We start from the raw sequence: 22369 nt of genomic DNA, 5'->3' as shown, positions 1-22369 counted from the left end.
GATAGAGGCAGTCATGCAAAAAAAAATCAGGCGGAAGAGCATTTTAGGTAGAGTAAACGGCTAGTACAAAGGCCATAAAGCAGAAAAGAGCTTAGCAAATTCCAGAAACAGAAAGCCAGCCCAATGTCTGCAGCATTAATGGGGAAAGGAAGAAAGTACAGGCTAAAGACAGGGTAGAGAAGATAGAGCCAGTAGGACTTCACAAGCCAGGGTAAAAAGTTGGCCTTCTATTCTAAATGTAATGGGAAGTCAATCAAGTTACCTCCCTTATCTGGCCCTCAATTTCCTCATCTGCAGAATGGGGATAATGAGGGCTTATCTCATAGTTATGTTGACAATTAATTGTGAAAAAGAAAATATGCTTACTTAGCACAGAGAAAGGGGGACGGAGGAAGCATTCCTATTGGCTGTTATAATTCTACTTTCTAATCTGTTCTATTTTCTATTCTCATAAACTACTCTTTCTAAACTTCTTAGGCTTATAATCAGCAGAGGATCAGCTCTGCCAAACAGCAAAGTCCAAATGACAAGTGAATATACAAAAGGGACACATGAGATGTACTGACCTCAACATGTCAATGCCAACTCCAACAATGTTTTCCCCACTATTCCTAATAAAACCAGAACCACCAAAGCACAGCCAGGTGAGGAGTGAATGCCAGCATCTCACTCACACAGCACCCTTTGCGTCTATCCTCCAGTCGTCAAGCTTTGCCACCTAGCCCCAAAGCACCTGCATTTGGACAGTCATTCTTCTGCTAAAAAATGGAGCCAACAACAAGTCCATCAGCCTTCCCCATTCTTTCTTGGCATATCCACACTACCTCCACCTCCTAAAAAACAAAAGGCCCTTGCCAACGTCCTTTGGTGCTGGTTTTCTTGCTGCTTGCTTTAAAAATAATAAAAATCAAAAAGCTTCCTTTAGGCCAGGCACAGTGACTCATGCCTGTCATCCCAACACTTTGGGAGGCCAAGGTGGGTGGATCACTTGAGGTCAGGAGTTTGAGACCATCCTGGCCAACATGGCGAAACCCCGTCTTTACTAAGAATACAAAAATTAGCCAGGCGTGGTGGCTTGTGCTTGTAGTCCCAGCTACTTGGGAGGCCAAGGCAGGAGAATCGCATGAACCTATGAGGTGGAGGTTGCAGTGGGCTGAGATCATGCCACTGCACTCCAGCCTGGGCGACAGATGAGACTCCTTCTCAAAAACAAGGGGAAAAAAGCTTCCTTTAAAGTTAGGCAGCAAAGAGAGGGGCTTACACACAGGGCTTTTGCTCAAAGCACCTGGCAAGCCAAGAGGCCATAAGGCAGTTGGCCCCTCAGAACCGAGGATAAGGACGAAGACAAAAAGGCACCGTTTCACTTTTTAGGTCAAGCAGCACCCAGCAGGGCAGGTTAACGATGGGCCGAGCCTGGCAAACCATGAGGTCTTTCACAGGAAAAAAAAAAAAAGGAGTATGCCCAGAAAAAGGAAGAGGTGCTGGCATTTGATCAATCTCCTGGCAAGAGGCCAAGGAAACTCCCTACAGAGTGAGCACAAGTCTCCCTGCGATGCCCTCACCCAGGTACATATATGGTAATATGGCTGTAAATACGAGGTAGAGAAAACCTAACGCATTTACGGTTGACTTTTTCAAGAGGGAGAAAAAGGCTCCCTTTACAACAGTCTCTGCTCCTGTTCCTGGGCACTCAGGGTTAATTTTGGACTTCCTTTGAGCAAAGATGCTTGGCGATATCATCTTTATTGTGAAATGAGGAGGAACAGCACATTTTTGACTTGGACATAATGCCACCCTCCTCCCCACACGTTTTCACACAGCTCCCCCTCCTTGCCTTCTTGTCCCATTAGCTGCTAATCAGATCGTCCTCAGAAATGCAGCATGTCCCCATCATCAGATAATTTATTCTCTTGCAAAAAGCACTTCTCTGGGAGCATAGAAAATTGTATTATGCTTTCGTTTTCAGGCAGTCCCAAAGGAAGTCACCAACTCAGAAGTTTCATCTTTAAGCAAGGCCCTTCATGGCCTCCCAGAAACAGCAGCTGTAAATCTGAAGTTCAGAGGAGTGATTCTCTAGTATAATACAACGTTGCTCATTCTCCATTCCCCCCGCCGCAACACACATACACACACAAAAATAAACCTACTCGCTTTTTCAGACATGTCTGCTAAATAACCTTTTCCCCAACCAGGTACAATATCTACAAAGTTATTTCTCAAAAAAAGATGCCCGCACTGACATTTGGTCTCATGGCTTCTATTCTTCAAGGCCAAAGTAAGAGAAGCCAACCAAAAGCTCAATATTTCCAAGGCAAAGAGCTGCAGATTTGGTGAGTGGAGGGCATTTAGCTAAAACTCTTTAATTTACGGGTAGAAAAAACAAACCTGAGGCCTAGTGATTTCTTGGAGGTCACACAGCTGATGAGTGCCCAAAGATAGACCACAGGGCTCCAGATACCAAGGCCAGTGTTTTTTGGTTTTGGGAGGGGGCGAGAGGGGGAGGGTGCTTATTTTGTTAAAAAGTTGAAGTCAGTCCCAGCCTGAAGAGACACCCCTCTGCCCACATAGCCCAAACCTCAAAAAACCAGCAAATGAAGTTAGGTCAATATCCTCAGAGAGAGACAAAAGTCTCACCAAGCCAGAAAAATTCACTCAAGGACAGGGTTTCTTAACCGGTTCACTACTGACATTCTAGGGCAGAGAGGTCTCCGTTGCGTGTGTGTGTGGTGGGGCAGGGGAGTGGGGGGCTATCCTGTGCACCATAGGATCTGTTCACAAAATGCCAGTAGCACCCCACCCCTGCCTGCCAGATAGAACAACCAAAAATATCTCCAGACGATACCAAATGTCCCCTGGAGGACACAAATCACTCTCCCTGTCCCCATTGAGACCACTGCTCTAGGACATAGATAGGTTTTGCTTTGTTTTTTTATCTGTAACGCCTTCTGCAAACATTTGTTTTTAGACAACTCGGCAGCAATGACCCGAAGCAGGTATTTTTATTTTTACACCTATTCTACAGAAGAGGAAACAGATGCACAGATGTTCCATGTTTTGCCCCTTACCCAAGAAGCAGTCAACACTCGGTACTGCGGAGTCCCCATCCTGTGGCTCACCAGGGCAATACCAATATGACCTGAAAGCAGCTTGGTTTCACTACCTGATTTTTCCACTCCCTTTTATGAATACTCAACAGTTTCCCAAGACAAATGTCCTGCAGAGATTTGTACTGAACAACACCTCAAAAGCTATCAAAAGGAAATGCTTAATATCTCTACATGGTCCTCACGTCACCCTCTGCAATAAAGGGCTTTTCTTTTTTTCTTTTTATTGAGATGGAGTCTCACTCTGCCCCCCAGGCTGGAGTGCAGTGGTGCGATCTCAGCTCACTGCAACCTCCACCTCCTGAATTCAAGCAATTCTCCTGCCTCAGCCTCCCAAGTAGCTGGGACTACAGGTGCCCACCATCATGCCCAGCTAATTTTTTTTGTAATTTTAGTAGAGATGGGGTTTCACCATGTTGGCCAGGCTGGTCTCAAACTCCTGACCTCAGGTGACCCACCCACCTTGGCATCCCAAAGTGCTAGGATTACAGGCGTGAGCCACGATGCCTGGCTGTAAGGCTTTTCAAAGAAAGATGCCAGTTCAAGAAATATTTAATCAGGAGAGGGGTACAGGGGCCAGGCGCAGTGGATCACGCCTGTAATCCCAGCACTTCGGGAGGCCAAGGTGGGCAGGTCATGAGGTCAAGAGATCGAGACAATCCTGGCCAACATGGTGAAATCCCATCTCTACTAAAAATATAAAAATTAGCTAGGCATGGTGGCACATGCCTGTAGACCCAGCTACTCAGGAGGCTGAGGCAGGAGAATCGCTTGAACCTGGCAGGCGGAGGTTGCAGTGAGCTGAGATCAGGCCACTGCACTCCAGCCTGGTGACAGAGCGAGATTCCTTCTCAAAAAAAAAAAAAGGAGAGAGGGGTACAAAAAATTAGTTTTTCCAAGCAGCCTTCAAAGGGAGAAAAAACATATATACAAATTACTTATTGTGTAAGCACTTCCTGTGTGCCAGGTATTCTTATGAGTTAAAAAAACACAAAAGGCCCAAAAGGAAAATAGGTTTTAGGGCCCTGGAGTTTCAAATGACAGATTTTCAAGTATCATAAAAAACTTCCCGGAGGAGGAAGCGTTTGGGCTGGGCCCTAAGGAATAGAAGGATCTGGCGAGGTGGACAGACGGGGGTGGGGAGGGACACATGAGGTACAACATACACACACACGACAAGGCAAACAAATGAATGTCCGTCGTCTGGGTGTCGTATCAGCTTTTTCTGTTCAGAAATATGTGCTTGGGATGCTTTTAAGCTGTTCTTGCAAAAGAAAATCATTTCCCAGACAAAGCTCCTTCTGAAATGCAAAAGAACAGCAAGAAACTTGGAGACTAGTGATATTTTTCTTATGTTCATCTTCTTCTGATAAGCCGCATTATATCAAGCCATCCAGAAGTTCTGCTGATGGGACAGGTCAGAAAGTATGATAAAACATAAGTTCCTCATTGTCCCATGACAGCAGGTGAACAGCAGTGACTTCACAACTCTAAGTAGGGGTACATGTGCCTTCTGGTCTCTTTCTGCCTTCATGTGAACAGCGAATAAAAGCTCCCCCAAATGTAAGCATCAAAGTTCCCATGTTTGTTGGAGAGGGAATCATGTGAAAACTACTTACTCTCACCTCAGGTTGGTGATTAGCCTACCTTTCCACTTCACTGAAAATAAGGCTGCAGGGGAAAAGTACAAAGGTCAGCTTCAGCCTGAACAGGTGAGAGCTAGCCATGAAAAAGCAAAGGAACCACTAAATGACAAGGACTGAAAAAGCACAGGGACAGGCATCCTCCAATGCATATCTTCTCGTATTTTCACGTGTGTGTGAATCACTTGAGGATCTTGCAAAAATGTAGGTTCTCATTCATTGAATGTGGAGTAGGGTCTGAGAGTCTGCAATTGCTAGCAAGTTCCCAGTTAATGTCAGTAACGCTGGTCTGGGGACCACACTTGGAGTGGCAAAGATGTAGTACAGTGTTTCTCAAACTTTTGACTGCAGCTCAGAGTAAGAAAACTATTGAACTTACAACCCAATGTTCATTGTGTATGTGAGACAAAGAATTTTGTTGCAACATACACAGTTCTTTTTAAGTATCCACGAAATACACTTCCATGTTTTCTATTCTAGTGCATGTCATTAAAAAAAAAAAAAGTTTGGCTGGGCCCGGTGACTCACACCTCCAGTCCCAGCACTTTGGGAGGCCAAGGCGAGAGGATCGTTTGAGCCTAGAAGTTCAAGGCCAACCTGGACAATACAGGGAGACCCAATCTCTACAAAAAAAAATTTTTTTTTTAAATTAGCCAGGAGTGGTGGGGCACGCTGGTGGTCCCAACTACTCAGGAGACCGAGGTGAGAGGATCGCTTGTGCCTGGGAGGTTGAGGCTGCAGTGAGCCAACATCATGTCACTGTACTCCAGCCTTGGCAACAGAGCAAGACCCTGTTTCAAAAACTAAAAATAAAAAGTTCATCAAGGCCCACTAAATTGATTTAACAACCTCTTAGTGGGTTTCCACAGAGTTTGAAAAACACGGATACAGAACAAGAGTAACATTCCTGCTCATCTGGGGAGAACAATGATGTCTTAGCCTCAGGACACTAAGGCTAAACCCAAAACCAATTTTTAAAAAAAGTTTAGATTATATTCAGAATTCTTTGCAAAAAGGCAAGGATAGGTCAATTGCATTTTGGAAATACTTTCACCTAGGAAATTCAAGTTTTAAGTTTTCTTCATTTTAATTTGTCTTCTCGTCTGTAAGATGAGGATGACAAGAGTACCTACTTGGCCCTAGGTGGAGATCTCTAAATACCATTTTGGCCAGGCATGATGGTCTCACGCCTGTAATCCCAACACTTTGGGAGGTCAAGGTGAGAACACTGCTTGAGCCTAGGTGTTTGAGAGCATCCTGGACAACATGGCGAGATCCCGTCCCTACAAAAAAACAAAAAAGATTAGCCAGGTGTGGTGGTGAATGCCCATAGTCCCAGCTACTCAGGAGGATTAGGTGAGAGGGTAGCTTGAGCCCAAGAGGCAGAAGTTGCAGTGAGCTGAAATCATGCCACTGCACTCCAGCCTGGGCAGCAGAGTAAGACTCTGTCTCAAAAAAACAAAACAAACAAAATTTCCCTCTTAAAAGAGCAAAGGCTCCTTGGAGAAAAGGCCGATTCTTGGTCTGGGATAAGAAATAGAGAAGATGAGCCTGGAACATCTTGTTATACAGAAATCAAAAAAGCTAGCAAAGACAACAAGGGCTGTGTCGAAATCTCAGGAACTTTACCAGCCCATTTCTCACTGACGAGAGAACTAATGGATTCAGGTAGTGAGCATCAAGGGGTGCTCATATAACAAGAGTAGACATCCAACATCTCACACCCACCTAAGCAAAGTTTACAGAGCAGACTTACTGGAGTCCCAGCTACTGGGAAGGCTGGCACAGGAAGACTGCTTGAGACCAGGAGTCCAAGGCCAGCCGAGGCAACATAGTGAGACCCCTTCTCAATTTAAAAAAGAAAAGAACCTAACTTTGATGAAGCCTCTACATCTAACTACCAAATTATGGTACCCCAAGGGGATACAGAAACATGTTAAACCACATTGCACTGATGCAGTCAGCAAAGTCTAAACTGTGGAGACGTGTATCACCCAGTTTCTTCGATAACAACAAAAAAAATGCATGGAAAAAAGATCTGTAGAGGAAATACAGAGATTAGTGAACATCAACCATTTGTAATGTATTTACCTTATTTGGATCCTAATTCAAACTGTTAAATACGTGTATGTGTAAAATTATTATATTATGTATTTTTTACAAATATCTATTTATATATGTATATATATCAGGGAAGTATAAACCTAGACTCAATAAAAATGAAAGGCCATCAAAGGGGTAGGCACATTTAGAAAAATGAGACACAGATGTCTGTTTATTAAAAAGATGTTCAAGATGTACAAAAGGTAATTTACCAAATGAGAGATACTGTGTTAGTCCCTTTTTATGAAATTTAAATATATACGTAAATTTTACATATGCATACTTAGAGGAAAAGCCTGAAACCCTAATCTCTAATAGTTGAATTGTTTTGTTTTGTTTCATTGCTCCTCTTTATTTCCTAATGTTGCACTACAATGAATATGCTATCTTTTTCTCCTTAAAAAAATTTTTTTAACAGAGATGGGGTCTTGCTGGAGTACAGTAGCTATCACAGATGCAATCATAGTATATTACAGCCTCAAACCCCCGGGCTCAAGTAATTCTCCTGCCTCCGTCCCCTGAGTAGCCGAGTCCAAGGTGTGTGCTACATGAATATGTATATCTTATGTAATAAGTAACAAAATTTGAGGTTTGCTTTAAGTTTGCACATGTGCAGGGGTCCACTTCACTTATTAAGGAGAATCACTGATGTGAAGCTTCTAATTCCTCAAGGATGCTGGAGAGCAGAATATTAGTCCTCCTTGTAAATATCTCTTAAAACGACACTGGATACAACGCAGGGTGGCGGTAAGACATAGGTTTGTGTTGAAACTCCAGGATTATCATTATGTTCTTACAATTTGCTCTCCAAGTCAACTGTACGTTCACCTATTTGTCAAACTTTCCTTTTCTACTGAAGTGAATTACAACTCCAGGTAAGTCCTGTCATTAACCAGACAGTCCAGAAATCTGGGTTTTACCCCCTATCGAGTTCCCATCTGGTATGTGATCCTGCCAACCTTACCAGAGTCTCTTCAGAAAGGACAATGTAGTTTTGTGATGTTGAAAACCACACTGAGAATTCCGTGAGAGTTTACAAGTCCTCAGATAAACCACTGTTGACCTGCAAAATCTGGTCCCTACAGGTCTGGACCTTGACTCCCTCTCCCTCCTGAACTCCTAGCACTCTCCCCTGGCCTTCTTCTCCTTCCTCCAACATGTCACAAACACTCCTATCTCAGGGCCTCTGTACTTGCTGCTCTGACATTTGGAACACACTTTTTCCCTGACAGCTACAGGGTCAACTCGTTTGCCTCCTTCAGATCTGTGCTGAGATGTCATGTAGTAAAGATCTAATCCCCACCTGAGTACTCCCTTAATACCCCTCATCATGTTTTGTTGCTTTTTAAAATTACTGTAAAATATACATAACATAAAATATACCACTTTGAAATGTTATAACTCAGTGGCACTAAGTACATTCACACTGTTGTGTGACATCACCACCATCCATTTCCAGAACTTTTTCATCTTTCCAAACTGAAACTCTATCCTCAATAAACACTAACTCCCCCTTCCTGTCTTCTATCTCCCCCAGCAATCCCCATTCTACTTTCTGTCTGCAGGGATCTGACTACTCTAGATGCCTCTATAAGAAAAATCATAAAATATGTGTCCTTTTATTTCTGGCTTGTTTCACTTAGCATGTTTTCAAGGTTCATCCACATTGTAGCATGTGTCAGAATTCCCTTTTTAAGGCTGAATAATATTCCATTGTATGTATATTTCACATTTTATCTGTTCATTCATCAGTAGACTTGTGTTGTTTCTACCTTTTGGCTACTGTGATAATGCTTCTACTGACACAGGTGTACAAATATCTGCTCACGTCCCTACTTTCAATTTTTTAAAGTATATACCTTGAAGTGGAATTGCTGGGACATATAGTAATTTTATGTTTAATTTTTTTTAGTAACTGCCATGCTGTTTTCCACAGCAGCTTCACCATTTTACATTCCCACCGGCAATGCACAAGGGATCTAATTTCTCCACTTGTTATTTTCTGTTCCCCCTTTAACCAGTTTTCTTTTTCTCCATAGCTTTTACTACCTCTAATACTATAATACTTACTTGTTTATTTATATTGGCTGCCTCCCACCAACTGAGATGTAAGCCTCTTGGGAACGGGATGGTTTGTTCATTGCTATATCCTGAGCACCTGGAATACATCTTAGTACATAGCAGGTGCTCAAGAAATTTGTTGAATAAAGAATAAAACATTTGAATCGCACACAACTTGAACAGGTCTTAGAGTCTGTTAAATAGATTTACCACACCATGTGCCTTAAACTACATCCAATTTAGAAATCTCAAAGTTGAATGGGTGACGGTTTCAGTGGTGTATCTGGCTTATTCTCATTAGCAATCATCTCAGAACCACAGAAACCAAGAGAATTGTAAGGAATCATAGAAGTTATGTCATTCACATCACCGACTTCAAGCCTTAATTGCATTCATCAATTGAGCTATGCACAAACTTAAAACAGCAAAAATGGAAAAAAAAAAAACTGCATGGACTTCTGGTTAACAGACAGCCTGCAAATGCAATGTGTTTTATTTTTAAAAATCAAACCAATAGTAAACAAGATAGACACTGGCCCTGTGGAGACTCCTTAATTAGATGTAGCCAAAGACAGCTTGACCTAGAAACCTAACTCCAGGCCTACTTTTATTTTGGCTGTTTTTTTCTGTTGTTCATATTTGGTGTTTGTTTTATTTTTGTTTGTTTTCTAAGAGCTGCTCATGAAGAAATCAGACAGTTTCCATGATATCTTTATAAATGAGTTGAAAAGCCATGTGATATTCCCCCCTCTGGAAGTCAGTTGGTTGCACACCATTGGATTAAAGGTTTCTTTTTTATCTTTCTCTCTGCCCACTCTCCTCCCTCCCCGCAATACCAACACCCTGATCTTCCTCACTTAAAAATATTTTGAAGAAAAGACTCTTGATCTTTCTGTGGAGTTCATCTATCTCTTTTTTTCTAAGCAACCATTCCACTTCTCATTCCTAAAGAAAAGATGCCAATTCCCTCCAAAAGACAATCACTTGGTTTAAATAGATACCATTGTCAACCCCAAATGACTTTCATGGGTCTCAAGGCAAGAGCCAGAGTAATTCACTTAGAACATGAAGAACTTTCCCTGCCTGATAAGAATGATATCTTGAAAGGATTTTCTGTTCTGATTTGAATTATTCAAAGAGCAGATTGTACTTTCAGTGTACATATGCATACACACACACACACACACACATGAACTTGAAAGAAAAAATGGAGAACAAAAACGTCTGCACAACTGGCTGCAAAGCAAACTGGAAGGTATATGAAAAGGTATCAACATTTCACATTGCAGTCTAACTGCAGTTTAAACTTTCGAATTATTCAGATGGGGAAACGCCTGATCCTTTTAACCTACTCAGATTCTTTGATGTAAACAATCAAGATGTATTTCAGCTAGGAGGTGAGCCTAATGCTTAACTTACATAATGTTCCTTGTGGTTTTGTTTCTTTTTACTCTCCCCATTCAGGCTTTCCAAAATGAACTCATTACAGTATCTAATACCTCCTCAAATATCTGCACTCTTTTATCCCTATGTTTGTGGCTACATCCTTTCCTTCTTACATCAATGTTATGTATTATTTCATCATTGGTGGGAGGTATGCAAGTTATTTCATCAGTAGCAGTAAGTTTACCATTTTTCCTAGCTTCCCTCTCACCACCAGCATCCCCAAATCAACTGAGGTCCATTTGTGGGATGCAGTACAGCCTCACCGCCTGAGGTTACACCCTGCTCCTACTTTGTACTAGCTACTGGGCAAGTGATTTCACTCTCTGCACCTCAGTTTCTTCACCTGCATCTGACGCACAGGGTTTCTGAGATACATGGCTCTGGACCTGGCTTACAAGTACTTAATGTGTCCATCTTATTATTTTTAGCAACCAGTTAGAAAAGAGTCTGTGGACCAGTTTTTCCTTGCTGTACAGCTAATTCTGAAAAGGGGAACTGGGCCTAATCCTTGGCTCTATGAGCACCCACACAGCCATGTGAGTCAACAGAACTCCAAGAAGAAACTAGAGTTCTCACATCCAAATGCTTCTCACTCCGCCAGTACTCCTGAGGATCTTATCAACAGGAAACAAAAGCACTATACCACTATAATGAAGTGTCTGACTTTTATTTTCTCATTAGAAAAGCCCAAAGATTGTAGCCCAGGGAACAGCTAAATATTTAGAATGTTAAAAAAGTTATTAAGACCCAGCCACCCACCCCCACCTACCTCTGTTACCCTGTTATTTACCATGTTCCTGAACATTTCAGGAGAAAAAACTCCTGATAGCCAAATCTGCAGCAATAGTGATGTACGTGCACCCGTTGAAACCTCCCACTCTTCAAATGCAGTCTGACCATTTTGGGGAAAAAATAGGAACTGTTGTGTTTACAGATAAATGCTGCTCTCAGCTCATATTCCACCACGGGCCCCAAAACAACAGGGACCTGCCAGATTCCTTGACACTCAGGTGGCTTGAGTCAAGGGCTGGATGCTACCACCTTAAGCTTCAATAACTCACTTCCCTTTTTAAAGTTCTAATTCTTTCAACTTGCAGCAACCACTTTCATTTCTTGCAATCCAACCTACTCTGATTAAGCACACGTTCAAAATTAGAAAAGAGTGACTATTTCTTGAAGGAGAGAGGCAGTTAATACTGCTTACACATTTTGGCATATGAAATGCACTGTATCCTTCAGAATTTAAATCATCAGCATGCTTTTCAGACCGGCAATGGGCCGCCGTTTTATTGCTCCATTTAATGGCCTTTTCCCCTCCTCTCTCATAAACTTTCAGGCTCCTTCAATTCTCAGCTACTTCCAAGAAACGGACTGTCCACTGGACCTCTGCTCCCAAAAGCCCTCACCAAAGGCAGAGGCAAATTTTGAAGACTGAGCCACGGAGTTTCTTTTTCTTTCTTACTCCCCACCTCCTTGGCGGTTTAGATAGAACTTAAAATAGGCTTAGGACAAAAACTCATTATTGACTACAGCACTCAGGCTTCCACACTCACCTGACCTGGGTCAGGCACTCTGTTGCCAAAGCAAGCCCAGCGAGGGGTGCAAATCCTGCTCCTCTGTAGTCAGCTCCTAAATATTTAGAAAGAAAGAAGACTGAGTACCAGACCGCGGAAGATGAGCTCTAACAGAAATGCTCCAAATTACAAGTTTCCACCTTCTTTAGCCTCCTTCACTGGGGACAGCCCCCCCGCCCCCAAACTTGGTAGGCAGGTTGGTGGGATCGCTTGGGCGAAGATTCCAGGTAACTACGCTTACTTATTTCCAGGATGTAACTGACAATTGAGACTAGGCACGCACAAACTTCGAACGTGCGGGAGGCTGGAACTAAGGGAAGTGTTTGGCAGATCCCAAAGCACTTGTTTCCCGGCGAGAAGGCCAAGTATCCGAAGCCCGCATCCTCATTGGACATGAGCTTCGTCCACACTTCATCCCTCACCGCTTCTCCGGTTTTCTTCCGTTTTTAAAAACCCTCCCCACGGGGGGCCCCTACACATGCATTATTCTCCCAACCACGGAGCGCAAGAGAGGGATACATTTTTAGAAAGATTATTTCCTTGAGCAGACTCACATATGACACCCCCACAACCTCTCTTCAAAAAAAAAAAAAAAAAAAGAACTATTTCCTGCAGCTGCAGCAACAGTTTCCAACTTGGGGGAATGCCACATCAGACCAGAATGGGGAGCCCCCAAAGCCACGCACTAGAGTAGAGGATATTTGTTTTTTAAGCTTCAAATGAGCTCCCCCCAAAACAACTGCCCGCAGTAAAGGAACCCCCAAATGCATGCCAAGTGCATGCACATCCATCAAGATCTCCCCGAGAGCGGGGCAAAAACTTCTGCGCCCGGGGAGCCAGTGCCAACTCCCCGCGCCCTCTGCCCGGCCCCAGCCGCTACCTTGGTGCCCGGGGAGCCACGCCGGTTTGGGGGAGCAGGGCGAGGAGAGGGGTTAGCAGCCGCTGGGTAATCCCATGTCCGCGAAGAGGGAGCTCGTTCCGTTAGGATGGAAGCGGAACACCCACACCTCCTCTCGGCGTGCGCTTTCTCTCTCTCCACCCCCTGCCTCCTCCTCCACCACCACCTCCTCCTCCTCCTCTCCTCCCACCCCAGCGAGCTTGAGGAAACGCTTCAGCAGCACATCCACATGGTTACTGCACTTTAAAGCGGCTCCGGGTGGCTTATATAGGCCGGGAAGCTCCCTGGGCAATGTAGTCCAAGTAGCGGGTCGTGGCGGCGCCTGAGGCTGCGGGGAGGGACTACAAGTCCCAGAATCCCCTGGGCGCCCGGGCTGGGCCCTAAATAGACGCGTGCGGGGACAGGGGAGGGGCGTCCTGCGAGGCTTTCAGGCTGCTGAGCCTGTTCCTTGGCTGGGGTCGGTAGGGCTTGGAGCCAGCCGTTCAAAGTCACCCCTGGGAAGCGCCCGCAACCCTTGGGGACGCCTCTCCTCCGGCTGCCCCCCTTCCCTGGAATCCAGGTGTCACTGGGGCCGGGGAGGGGCTAGGAGCTCGGATTTCTGCTTTGGGAAGTTTTTACAAGCCCACCCTCCCCCTGCCTTGGTTCCCCGAGCCAAGAATTTCAGAAATCCGGGGCACAAAAACGCCAGTGTTTGCGGTCAAGGATTAAAGGCGCGAGGTGTCTTTATTTAATCTGCTCCGCCCTGCTCGGGTTTGCACGAGAAACCAAGCCTGGGAGCGACGGTCCACGCAAGCGGAGACACAGGCAAGTCGCGTGAGAGCACTTTTCTGAGCCCGAGTTGCTTGTCTTTTATCGCCCGTGAGGAGGTAAAGAAAGGCAGACCTCTCCGGTGCACAAATAAAGGAGCCGTGTTGTGACTTGCCGGCTCTGAGATTGGGAGGCAGAAAATAAATACAAACCGCGACCTCAGTCCTGACCGTACCTCTAGCAGCCCCTCTGCTCCTGGGAGCTGTAAATGCTTAAGTAAATAAACCGCAAACCAGAAAAATAAGGGCTTAGGAAAGAGCCGCTCACACAGAGATGCGCATCCAGGCGGGGCGCTCTCCAAGAGCTCCGAATGGGGCAAGGTGGGTTTCACCCGCTGCCAAGTAATGCCTGGGCTCCCGGGCTACACGCTGCTTAGGGCTCCGGCTTTTGCAAGGAGGGGAAGAGCTAAGCCCGGAGGCAGTCAGCCGACTGCCCTGTCTTGCCTCAAATGACGTATATTCATTCCTCAAACGTTTCCTGAGTGTTTACTAGGTGCCAGGCGCTGGGGCATAGTGGTGAGCCAAACGCATTATAGCATCCCAGACAGGCACTTCCTGACGCCGCCTAAAGATCTGTTATAACAATAGTAATAATAATGATAATAATCAATGGGGAGGCTGATTTTATTGAGCCCAGACCACATGCAGTTTTCATGCGTCATGCTATTGAGTTTTACCAACTGTAGGTATATTTATTATATCTATTTGGCAGGTGCACAATCCAGGGCTCAGAGAAATCAGGTAACTTCCCAAATGACCCCTCGAGTTAAGTGGTACAGCCTGGACTCCCGTTCCAGACTCTACGTGTATGAAACCCTTGTCTTTGGGGAAATCCACCGCCATTGCCTTAAATAGCCTCTCTCCCCATTTAGGAGCAGCCTCTGAGCCCTTGGGCAAGTCATTTTCATCTCTTTGCCCCAGTTTTGCCATCTGAAGGAAATTCTTATTAGAATATGTCTACTTTTTAGCAGGATTCCTTAATATAAAATCGAGTCTCATGAAACTTTAGGAACAAATTAGAGGAGAATCATAGCTAATAGTTATTACTGACATAATAATGCCAAAACGAATCATAATTATTGACACTTATTGGGTGAATGCCATGTGTCAGGCATTGGTCTAAACTCTTTCTGTATAGCACCTAATTAAATCCTATTAAGCCATTTTTTACTTATGAGAAAACTGAGGGGGGGCACAAAGCGATTAAATTACTTCCTCCAAAGTCACACAAATAGCTGAGTCTTGAACCCTGGTCCTAAACTACTAGTCTCCGCTACCTCCCCAATGTAAACATGTGCACTGTATTTGCCTGCTCAGATAAGCATTTAATGTCAGTCCAGGAAGGGGCAAAGCTCTTGAAATAGACAAAGTTTGTGTTCACGATATTCACTCCTGCCCTCCGTTCCCTGTCAGCATTATCCCCTGGTCACTGGACGCTGGGGTCTAGTGCCTAATACGTTAAGCTGCTTCTCCCCATCATCAAGAAACTGCCGCATCTGCCATATAAAGGAGATGTTTCTCATTCGCCCCCACTCATCTCTTCCCCCATGAAAACCTCTTCCATTTTCAAAGGATCTTCGGCTCTACTTTTCAAGCAAATTCAACAAATCAGTGTATGCCTGTGTAACTGGTAAATAGTGAAGGGTAATTATTTCATGTGCTTCTAACTCAGAAACAATGGAATATTAACAGCGGTTTTCTGAAGATCCAGTTGGACAATTTTCATTTTCATCATATAATGGACATTTATCTCCTACCTGCATTATCCACTGTCTTCCCTCGGAGACCACAAATTTCACTGAAGGCAGCATCTATGTCTTATTCATGCTTGTGCTCTCTACCTCCCCTGACCCAGAAGGACTTATTCTTCTTTCTGCACATTTTAGTAGATGTGTTAAAAAAAAAAAAAAAAAGTTTGTTAAGAAGATGTTTTAATGGAAGGTGTGTCAGGCATATGGCAGGATACATGACCATATTTTTGGAGCATGCAACACCTCGTAGCCCATCTCTATCATAGCCTATTTTCTCCGCCTGTATGTATGGATAATCCTATTCAACATTTTTAAGGTCTAGAAGCTGCTAGGTCACTAGAAAGTAATTTTGCTATGATGTGAAGAGGTTCTCTATGATGATGTATGACTGATAAATTATGATGATTAATGTCAGAATATAAGGGTCACTGCCTAACTCATTCTCTGTTATCAGTAGAGGGAAAGGAGCTGCTTTCTCTTCACTATTTTTTTCTAGAAGAATTTTCTATCCCTGTGTTTTCCAGTATAGTGACTACTAGCCATTTAGGCACGTAAGATGTGGCTAGTTCTGAGATGTGAAATAGATGTTAACACATTGAATTTCAAAGACTTAGTACAAAAAAAAGCAAAATATCTTAATTTGTATAGTGATTACATGTTGAAGTGGTAATATTTTGGATATTTGTGTTAAATAAAATAGATTATTAGAATTTATTTTACCTGCTTTTTCCTTTTTTAATATAGCTACTAGGAAATTAAAAATTACATGTATAGCTCATATCATATATTATGCAGCACTGATCTAGAAAACCAAGAATCTGATTCCCAGGATCACAATTCGAGATGATGACCAGCCCATTAAAATGGCCATTTATGACTTTGCCCTTGAAATGTTCATGCAGGGAACTACGAGGGCTTTGCAAGGTCAGTACAGTATCATAGACTGAGCAGAAGTCTGAAGAAAGTCCAAAACTAGCACTTGAGCCTACCCCCAGGGAAGACCTACAAATAGAAGCAGGTTTCATCAGCAGTACACAGCTGAAAACTCTAACTGAATTCATCTGCCTAGAAGCCCACCTCAAATGCTGCCCTGGTTAAGAGAGCAAGATAAGCTGGAGAAAGGAGGGATCGGAGAAAATGGTTTTGACACCCAGCTGTACCATTTATATCCTGTTTTGTTTTGTTTGATAAAGTGATACTAACAATCCTTGCCTTGTCAATCTCACTGGGTCAATGGGTCATAGGACATGAAAGGGCTTTGCAAACTCACCCTCGCTATACTAAAGTAAGAGAATATTATTGACAAGAATGGAGATAATGTTGATGCGTCCTGATACAGTACTCAGTTCCAAACCAAACTTCAGATTATTGGGGCAGCACTATTCCCAATTTTCTCTCAGGCATAAGATTTCAATTGCCTATGGAGTGTAATTGGATTGTGACTCAAAGAATAAATGTTTGAGGGGGATGGATAGCCCATTCTCCATGATGCGCTTATTTCACATTGCATGCCTATATCAAAATATGTACCCCAAAATGTATACACCTACTATGTACCTGTAAAAAATTTAAAAAAAAAGAACAGAATCACCTATGAATGTCACAATGAGCCTTGAGTGCTTTAATTAATAACTCTAAATGACACTTAAATGGCAAGAAAGAATGTCCAACACCCAATCATAGAATTCAATCTATATTTTGGCACTGACACTATATTATCTAATGTGATGGACTACCATTGACCATGGAAAACATCAGCAAAGACAAATAGCTACTGCATAGCTAGTCCAACTAGTCTCTCTTGGTCATTGTGAATGTTTTATGGTGGAGGGATAGAGTCACAGCCCTCGTGGAAACTCACAAAATCCATGGGCACTTGCCCCAGCACAACACAGATACTGCAAATTTCTGCACCAGTTCTTAAGTTTCTTGTACCAGTCCTCTAAAAATCATTCATAGATACTCCCACAAGACTAGATTATCTTTTAGCTGTATTTTTCGGTGATTTTTGTCTCACCATTCAGATAACCTCTTTGAAGATAGGGACTAAGTCCTATAAATGTAGGACCCTTTGCAGCATCTTGTTCTGCTCTGGATACAGAGTAAGCATTCAGCACTTACTGGCTAATTGGAACTTACAAAGATGACCAGAAGAAATGACCTACAGACACTTAATCAACCCTACTTGACATGGAAAAAGTGGAGTTGCTATTCGAACAAGGGCAGGAGAGAGGACGACTTGGTATGGAGCTATAGAAAGTAAGATGTTTTCTGAATCCAGGCTCTAGATATCCTGTGAGAATGAGAGAAGACACAGCAAGAGGGCCTATTTTTGTTGTCCTATCTCTGAAGTGCGGAAGAAACTGCTGGTCAGTCACCTTGTGAGTGGAGGGAACATGGACAAAATGTCAATAATTTAAAATCTGGAAGGCAGCATGATAACTACAAAATAATGCAAAAATTAAGAATTCTTAGTACTCTATGCAATATGGAAGTAGCTGCTATACCATCTCTGATGATTGCTGCCAGTGTTGTCTAGAATCATGTAAGCAAGTAAAGAGAACTATTATTTTCTTATTCATTATTTTCCTGTAAAACATGCAGAGCCAGGGGTCTATTATTAACTACCCCATCTCCTGCCTCCCATCTGCAAGACTGTCATCCTAAATTGCTCTGGTAGACAAGCTAGATCTGGGGACTTGAAGAAATCTTGGAAAAGGCTTTTTTGTCTTATCCTAGTGTTTAAACTGAAATGAAATCTGTGTATCAAAGAAAAAACATAAAGCTCTTCCTTACAGAATAATTCAGCTAATACATGTAGAAGAAATAATAACATTAGCAAATTTGCAGCTTCCAGTATAATAATTTATTTAGATAGGCCAGGCACAGTGCCTCAAGCTTATAATCCTAGCACTTTGAGAGGCCAAGGTGGGCAGATCACTTGAGCCCAGGAATTCAAGACCAGCCTGGGCAACATGGCAAAATTCCATCTCTACAAAAAATATAAAAATTAGCTGGTCGTGGTGGCATGCACTTGTAGTCCCAGCTACTTGGGAGGCAGACGTGGGAGGATCACCTGAGCCCAGGGAGATAGTGGCTGCAGTGAGCTGTGATCATGCCACTGCACTCCAGCCTGGGCAACAGAGCGAGACCCCGTCTCAAAATATAAATAAGTAAAAAATTATTTAGGCAGATTATCAATAGATGCCAAACACTCTGGGGAAAATGTTGATGAGGAATAAGATAGTCATGTGGTCCTAAAAATCACTCCATACATCACACACAAATTATGAAGTGAAAAATGGACCTTTACAGTAAAGAGATAATGGCAATCACCCACGATTCACCCACATAACCACGTGATCAAATTTATTACCAGCAATACTGGGACAACTAGACACTATTTACATATGTATATGATTCTATAAGAAGTACACAACATCACATATGAAATGTTCTTGCCAAAAATATTCGTGAGGAAACAATCAAACAAACTCAGAATGCAGGACATTCCACAAGACCATTGGCCTGGATTCTTCAAATGAATCAGTGTCATTTAAAAAATATGGCAGGAGGATTATCTAGATGCAAATGCTTAAAGTGATGCATTTGGTAATTACCCTGACTGGATCATTATACTATGTATACATGCATTGAAACATCACATTTTACCCCATGAATATGGACAATTATGTGTCAATTGCAAATTAAAAATTTAAAAAGACTGAAACACACTTTACAACTAAATGCAACATGTGACCTTTGAATTTTGGATTAAAAGAAATTTTAAAATGAATCTATAGAAGACATTTCTGAGCAACTGTAAACAATTTGCATATTATAAAAATTGTAAATAATTTTCTTAGGTGTGATGATGGCATTGTGGTTATGTATGAAAATGTCCTCAAGAGATGTATACTAAAGTATTTTGAAGTGAAATCTCATGGTATCTGAAACTCACTCTCCACAAATGTGTGGTGGCATGCACCTGTAGTCCCAGCTACTCGGGAGGCTGAGGCACAATAATCCCTTGAACCCGGCAGGCAGAGGTTGCAGTGAGCCGAGATCATACCACTGCACTCCAGCCTGGGTGACAGAGCAAGATTCTGTCTCAAAAAAAAATAAAATGCATGCCAATTTAATCTAAAAATTATATATGATTACACTTACCTATCTTATTCAAAAAATTATCTAAAATCTTGCCACATTCGTGGAGATGTCTGTGCCCATTTTTGTGATAGTTTTACAGTTATGCTGGAGAAGTAATTATTTTTTACCTTTGAAGGTGATAGTGATGTTTCAACAAATGATTGAAAAATTTACACTTAGCTTTTTGGGTAAAATGCAGAACAACCTACTTATTATAACTAAACAACTTTTGTGTCAGTCTCCAAGTTAGGAGTAATTGTATTTGTTGCAATATGTCCTTCTTAGGGTCTTTACAAATCAACCAGAAAAGCAAAAAGAATTATGCATAAGAAAAGGGAAATGGAAGGCCAGGCACAGTGGCTCATGCCTGTAATGCCAGCATTTTGGGAGGCCAAGGCAGGAGGATCATTTGAAGTCAGGAGTTCCAGACCAGCCGGGGCAACATGGCAAAACCACATCTCTACTAAAAATACAAAAATTAGCCAGGTTAGGTGGCACATGCCTGTGGTCCCAGCTACTTAGGAGGCTGAGGCAGGAGAATCCTGGAACCCGGATGGCGAAGGTTGCAGTGAGCCGAGATTATACCACTGCACTCCAGCCTGGGCGACAAGAGCGAGACTCCATCTCCAAAAAGGAAGTGGAAAACTTGAGTATTGCAGGCTTCATCTTTCCCTTCTCCTGGGAAAGCTTTTTAATGATCATTAGACTTAGTTACTAAACTGAGCAGTGAATTCTATGTAATTCAGTTACCAGCGAAGTAGAACTTATAGCTTTTTTCACTTCTCATGCTCTATCAGTGTAGACTCATGCAAATTAACTGCTTTGTTTTGCTCCCACTTAATTTTATTTCAAGATTTTAAGTAGTATTTCCCCCTCTAACTTTAGTTTTAGGATATAGGTAACCTGTATCATGAGTTCAATCCAGACAGAGAATTTGAGTCAATCCTTTATGAAACAGATCATTTGGGTAGGGTCAGCCCAGGGAAGTGGGATTGGACTGGTGAGGAATAGGGTAGAGGGAGCTATTAAGAACATTTGGTTGGTTTCATGTCTGTCATTATTAAACTGATGTTTAATAGGTACCTACCTACCCTAGCAGGTGCTACACTAGGCACTAAAAAGACTGAACGGAATGCATAGAACTTTTACTATCTGCCTTTTTCTTGATCACTACCTTTCTTACAGAGGAATTTCATACATGGTGCTTAGAGGATGACACATAAGAAGACTGGCTGCTTTTTTATCAGAGGTTATTGTCATCAGCTGATCTCTCATGCCATTTCCCTCCTTGTTTCTTCTTTCAAGTAAGAGTTTGCAGACCTAGCAGTTGTGACCTAGGAAACGGCTGGTGCTGTGGTCCTCTGATCTTCCTTGGTTTCTTCACCACCATCCAGGCACCTGTCCATTCACACTGGAATATTTCTCCATTATAGGCCATATTATCAAGATGATTCTTTGTCATTGAAACATTTATGTTGAATATAACATAGCGAGTCAATGAGGGAAATACCTTCTTCTGAGTAGTTTCTCTGCTCAACTGTCCTCCAAACAAGCCCTTTTATTTCAATTTTTTTTAACTGTGTTACCTCTTAGAAGGAAGAGGGGGAGGAGGAGGAGGAGGCAACAGAAAGTGCATCGATTTTAAAAGTAGTCTAAGTCTTACTCAATACCTGAAATACCTTAAGAAACAGAAAAAGACCGTGGCTCATGCCTGTAATCCCAGCACTTTGGGAGGCCGAGGTGGGCAGATCACTTGAGGTCAGGAATTTGAGACCAGCCTGGCCAACATGGCGAAACCCCGTCTCTACTAAAAATACATTTAAAAAATTTAGCTGGGTGTGGTGGTGCACACCCAGGAGGCTGAAGCAGGAGAATCACTTGAACTTAGGAGGCAGAGGTTGCAGAGAGCCGAGATCATGCCACTGCACTCCAGCCTGGGGAACAGAGTGAGGGTCTATCCAAATAAAAGGAAAGGGGAGGGAAGGGGAAGAGAGGGATGGGGAGGAGAGGGATTGGCTATCTTAAAGCAAATTCTATAAAGATTCTATAAAGATCAGTGTTTATTAGAAAAAAAAAAAAGAAACAGCAAATAGCACTCTTATAATCAAAAATAAATAAGGGTGGTGGCTCATGCCTGTAATCCCTGCACTTCGGGAGGCCGAGGTGGGCAGATCACCTGAAGTCAAGAGCGCAAGACCAGCCTGGTCAACATGGCAAAACCCCATCTCTGCTAAAAATATAAAAAATTAGTAGGTTGTCGTGGCAGGCACCTGTAATCACAGCTACTCGGGAGGCTGAGACAGGAGAATTGCTTTGACCCAGGAGGCGGAGGTTGTAGTAAGACAAGATCACACCATTGCATTCCAGCCTGGGCGACAGAGCGAGATTTCATCTCTATAAATAAATAAATAAATAAAGATATTTAAAAGAAAAAGATTGTTGTTTCCAAAAGAATCTCACTCATAGGCAAATCAAGGCTTTTCTTTCTAAATTTCTGAATATACTCTTTTGAGCCTGAATGAGGAAACATTGTTATAAGGCGTAATGAAAAAATTTCCATGTGGTAATATGTAAATAGATTTGGTCTTTCCAAAAAAGGATACTGTCCCGGCACTTTGGGAGACCAAGATGAGCTTGAGCCCAGGAATTCAAGACCAACCTAGGCAACATAGTGAGACTCTCTCTCTACAAAATAAAAAATAAAAACATTAGCCCAGTGTGGTGGCACAAACCTGTAGAACCATCTACTCGGGAGGTTGAGGCTGCAGTGAGCCATGATTATGCCACTGCACTAGTCTGGTCAGAAGAACAAGATTTTGTTCCAAAAAAACAAG

At 42.7% G+C, this 22369-nt stretch overlaps 1 protein-coding gene and 1 long non-coding RNA gene across 5 annotated transcripts in view, besides 6 other annotated features; one reads left to right on the top strand and one right to left on the bottom strand.

Moving 5' to 3' along the window:
* Positions 1-13069, bottom strand: part of ITPR1 (inositol 1,4,5-trisphosphate receptor type 1) — a 354159-nt gene extending 341090 nt beyond the window's left edge. For all 4 annotated transcript variants that reach the window (NM_001378452.1, NM_001099952.4, NM_001168272.2 and 1 more), the window contains 2 exon segments: positions 12812-13069; positions 11911-11986 (listed from right to left, as the gene is read on the bottom strand). The gene's annotated coding sequence lies outside the window, so the exon portion shown is untranslated.
* Positions 1671-1760: an enhancer, noted in NCBI's record as "active region_19352". NCBI's record gives its function as "activates an Ori minimal core promoter by ATAC-STARR-seq in GM12878 lymphoblastoid cells {active_cell/tissue: GM12878}" and the evidence as "EXISTENCE:reporter gene assay evidence [ECO:0000049][PMID:35858748]".
* Positions 1921-1970: an enhancer, noted in NCBI's record as "active region_19351". NCBI's record gives its function as "activates an Ori minimal core promoter by ATAC-STARR-seq in GM12878 lymphoblastoid cells {active_cell/tissue: GM12878}" and the evidence as "EXISTENCE:reporter gene assay evidence [ECO:0000049][PMID:35858748]".
* Positions 1981-2120: an enhancer, noted in NCBI's record as "active region_19350". NCBI's record gives its function as "activates an Ori minimal core promoter by ATAC-STARR-seq in GM12878 lymphoblastoid cells {active_cell/tissue: GM12878}" and the evidence as "EXISTENCE:reporter gene assay evidence [ECO:0000049][PMID:35858748]".
* Positions 3217-3306: an enhancer, noted in NCBI's record as "active region_19349". NCBI's record gives its function as "activates an Ori minimal core promoter by ATAC-STARR-seq in GM12878 lymphoblastoid cells {active_cell/tissue: GM12878}" and the evidence as "EXISTENCE:reporter gene assay evidence [ECO:0000049][PMID:35858748]".
* Positions 11138-11432: a silencer, noted in NCBI's record as "tiled region #12228; K562 Repressive DNase matched - State 5:Enh". NCBI's record gives its function as "represses a minimal TATA promoter and a strong SV40 promoter by Sharpr-MPRA in K562 cells {active_cell/tissue: K562}" and the evidence as "EXISTENCE:reporter gene assay evidence [ECO:0000049][PMID:27701403]".
* Positions 12731-13000: a silencer, noted in NCBI's record as "silent region_14018". NCBI's record gives its function as "represses an Ori minimal core promoter by ATAC-STARR-seq in GM12878 lymphoblastoid cells {active_cell/tissue: GM12878}" and the evidence as "EXISTENCE:reporter gene assay evidence [ECO:0000049][PMID:35858748]".
* ITPR1-DT (ITPR1 divergent transcript) lies at positions 13254-16100 on the top strand. The gene is made up of 2 exons (NR_108075.1): positions 13254-13633; positions 15049-16100. It is a non-coding gene; the product is annotated as an ITPR1 divergent transcript (long non-coding RNA).

Source organism: Homo sapiens, chromosome 3 (genome assembly GCF_000001405.40).
Source record: "Homo sapiens chromosome 3, GRCh38.p14 Primary Assembly".
NCBI lineage: Eukaryota > Metazoa > Chordata > Mammalia > Primates > Hominidae > Homo > Homo sapiens.
The sequence above is the reverse complement of the archived record's forward strand: the minus strand, read 5'-3'. Positions and strand labels throughout refer to the sequence as shown.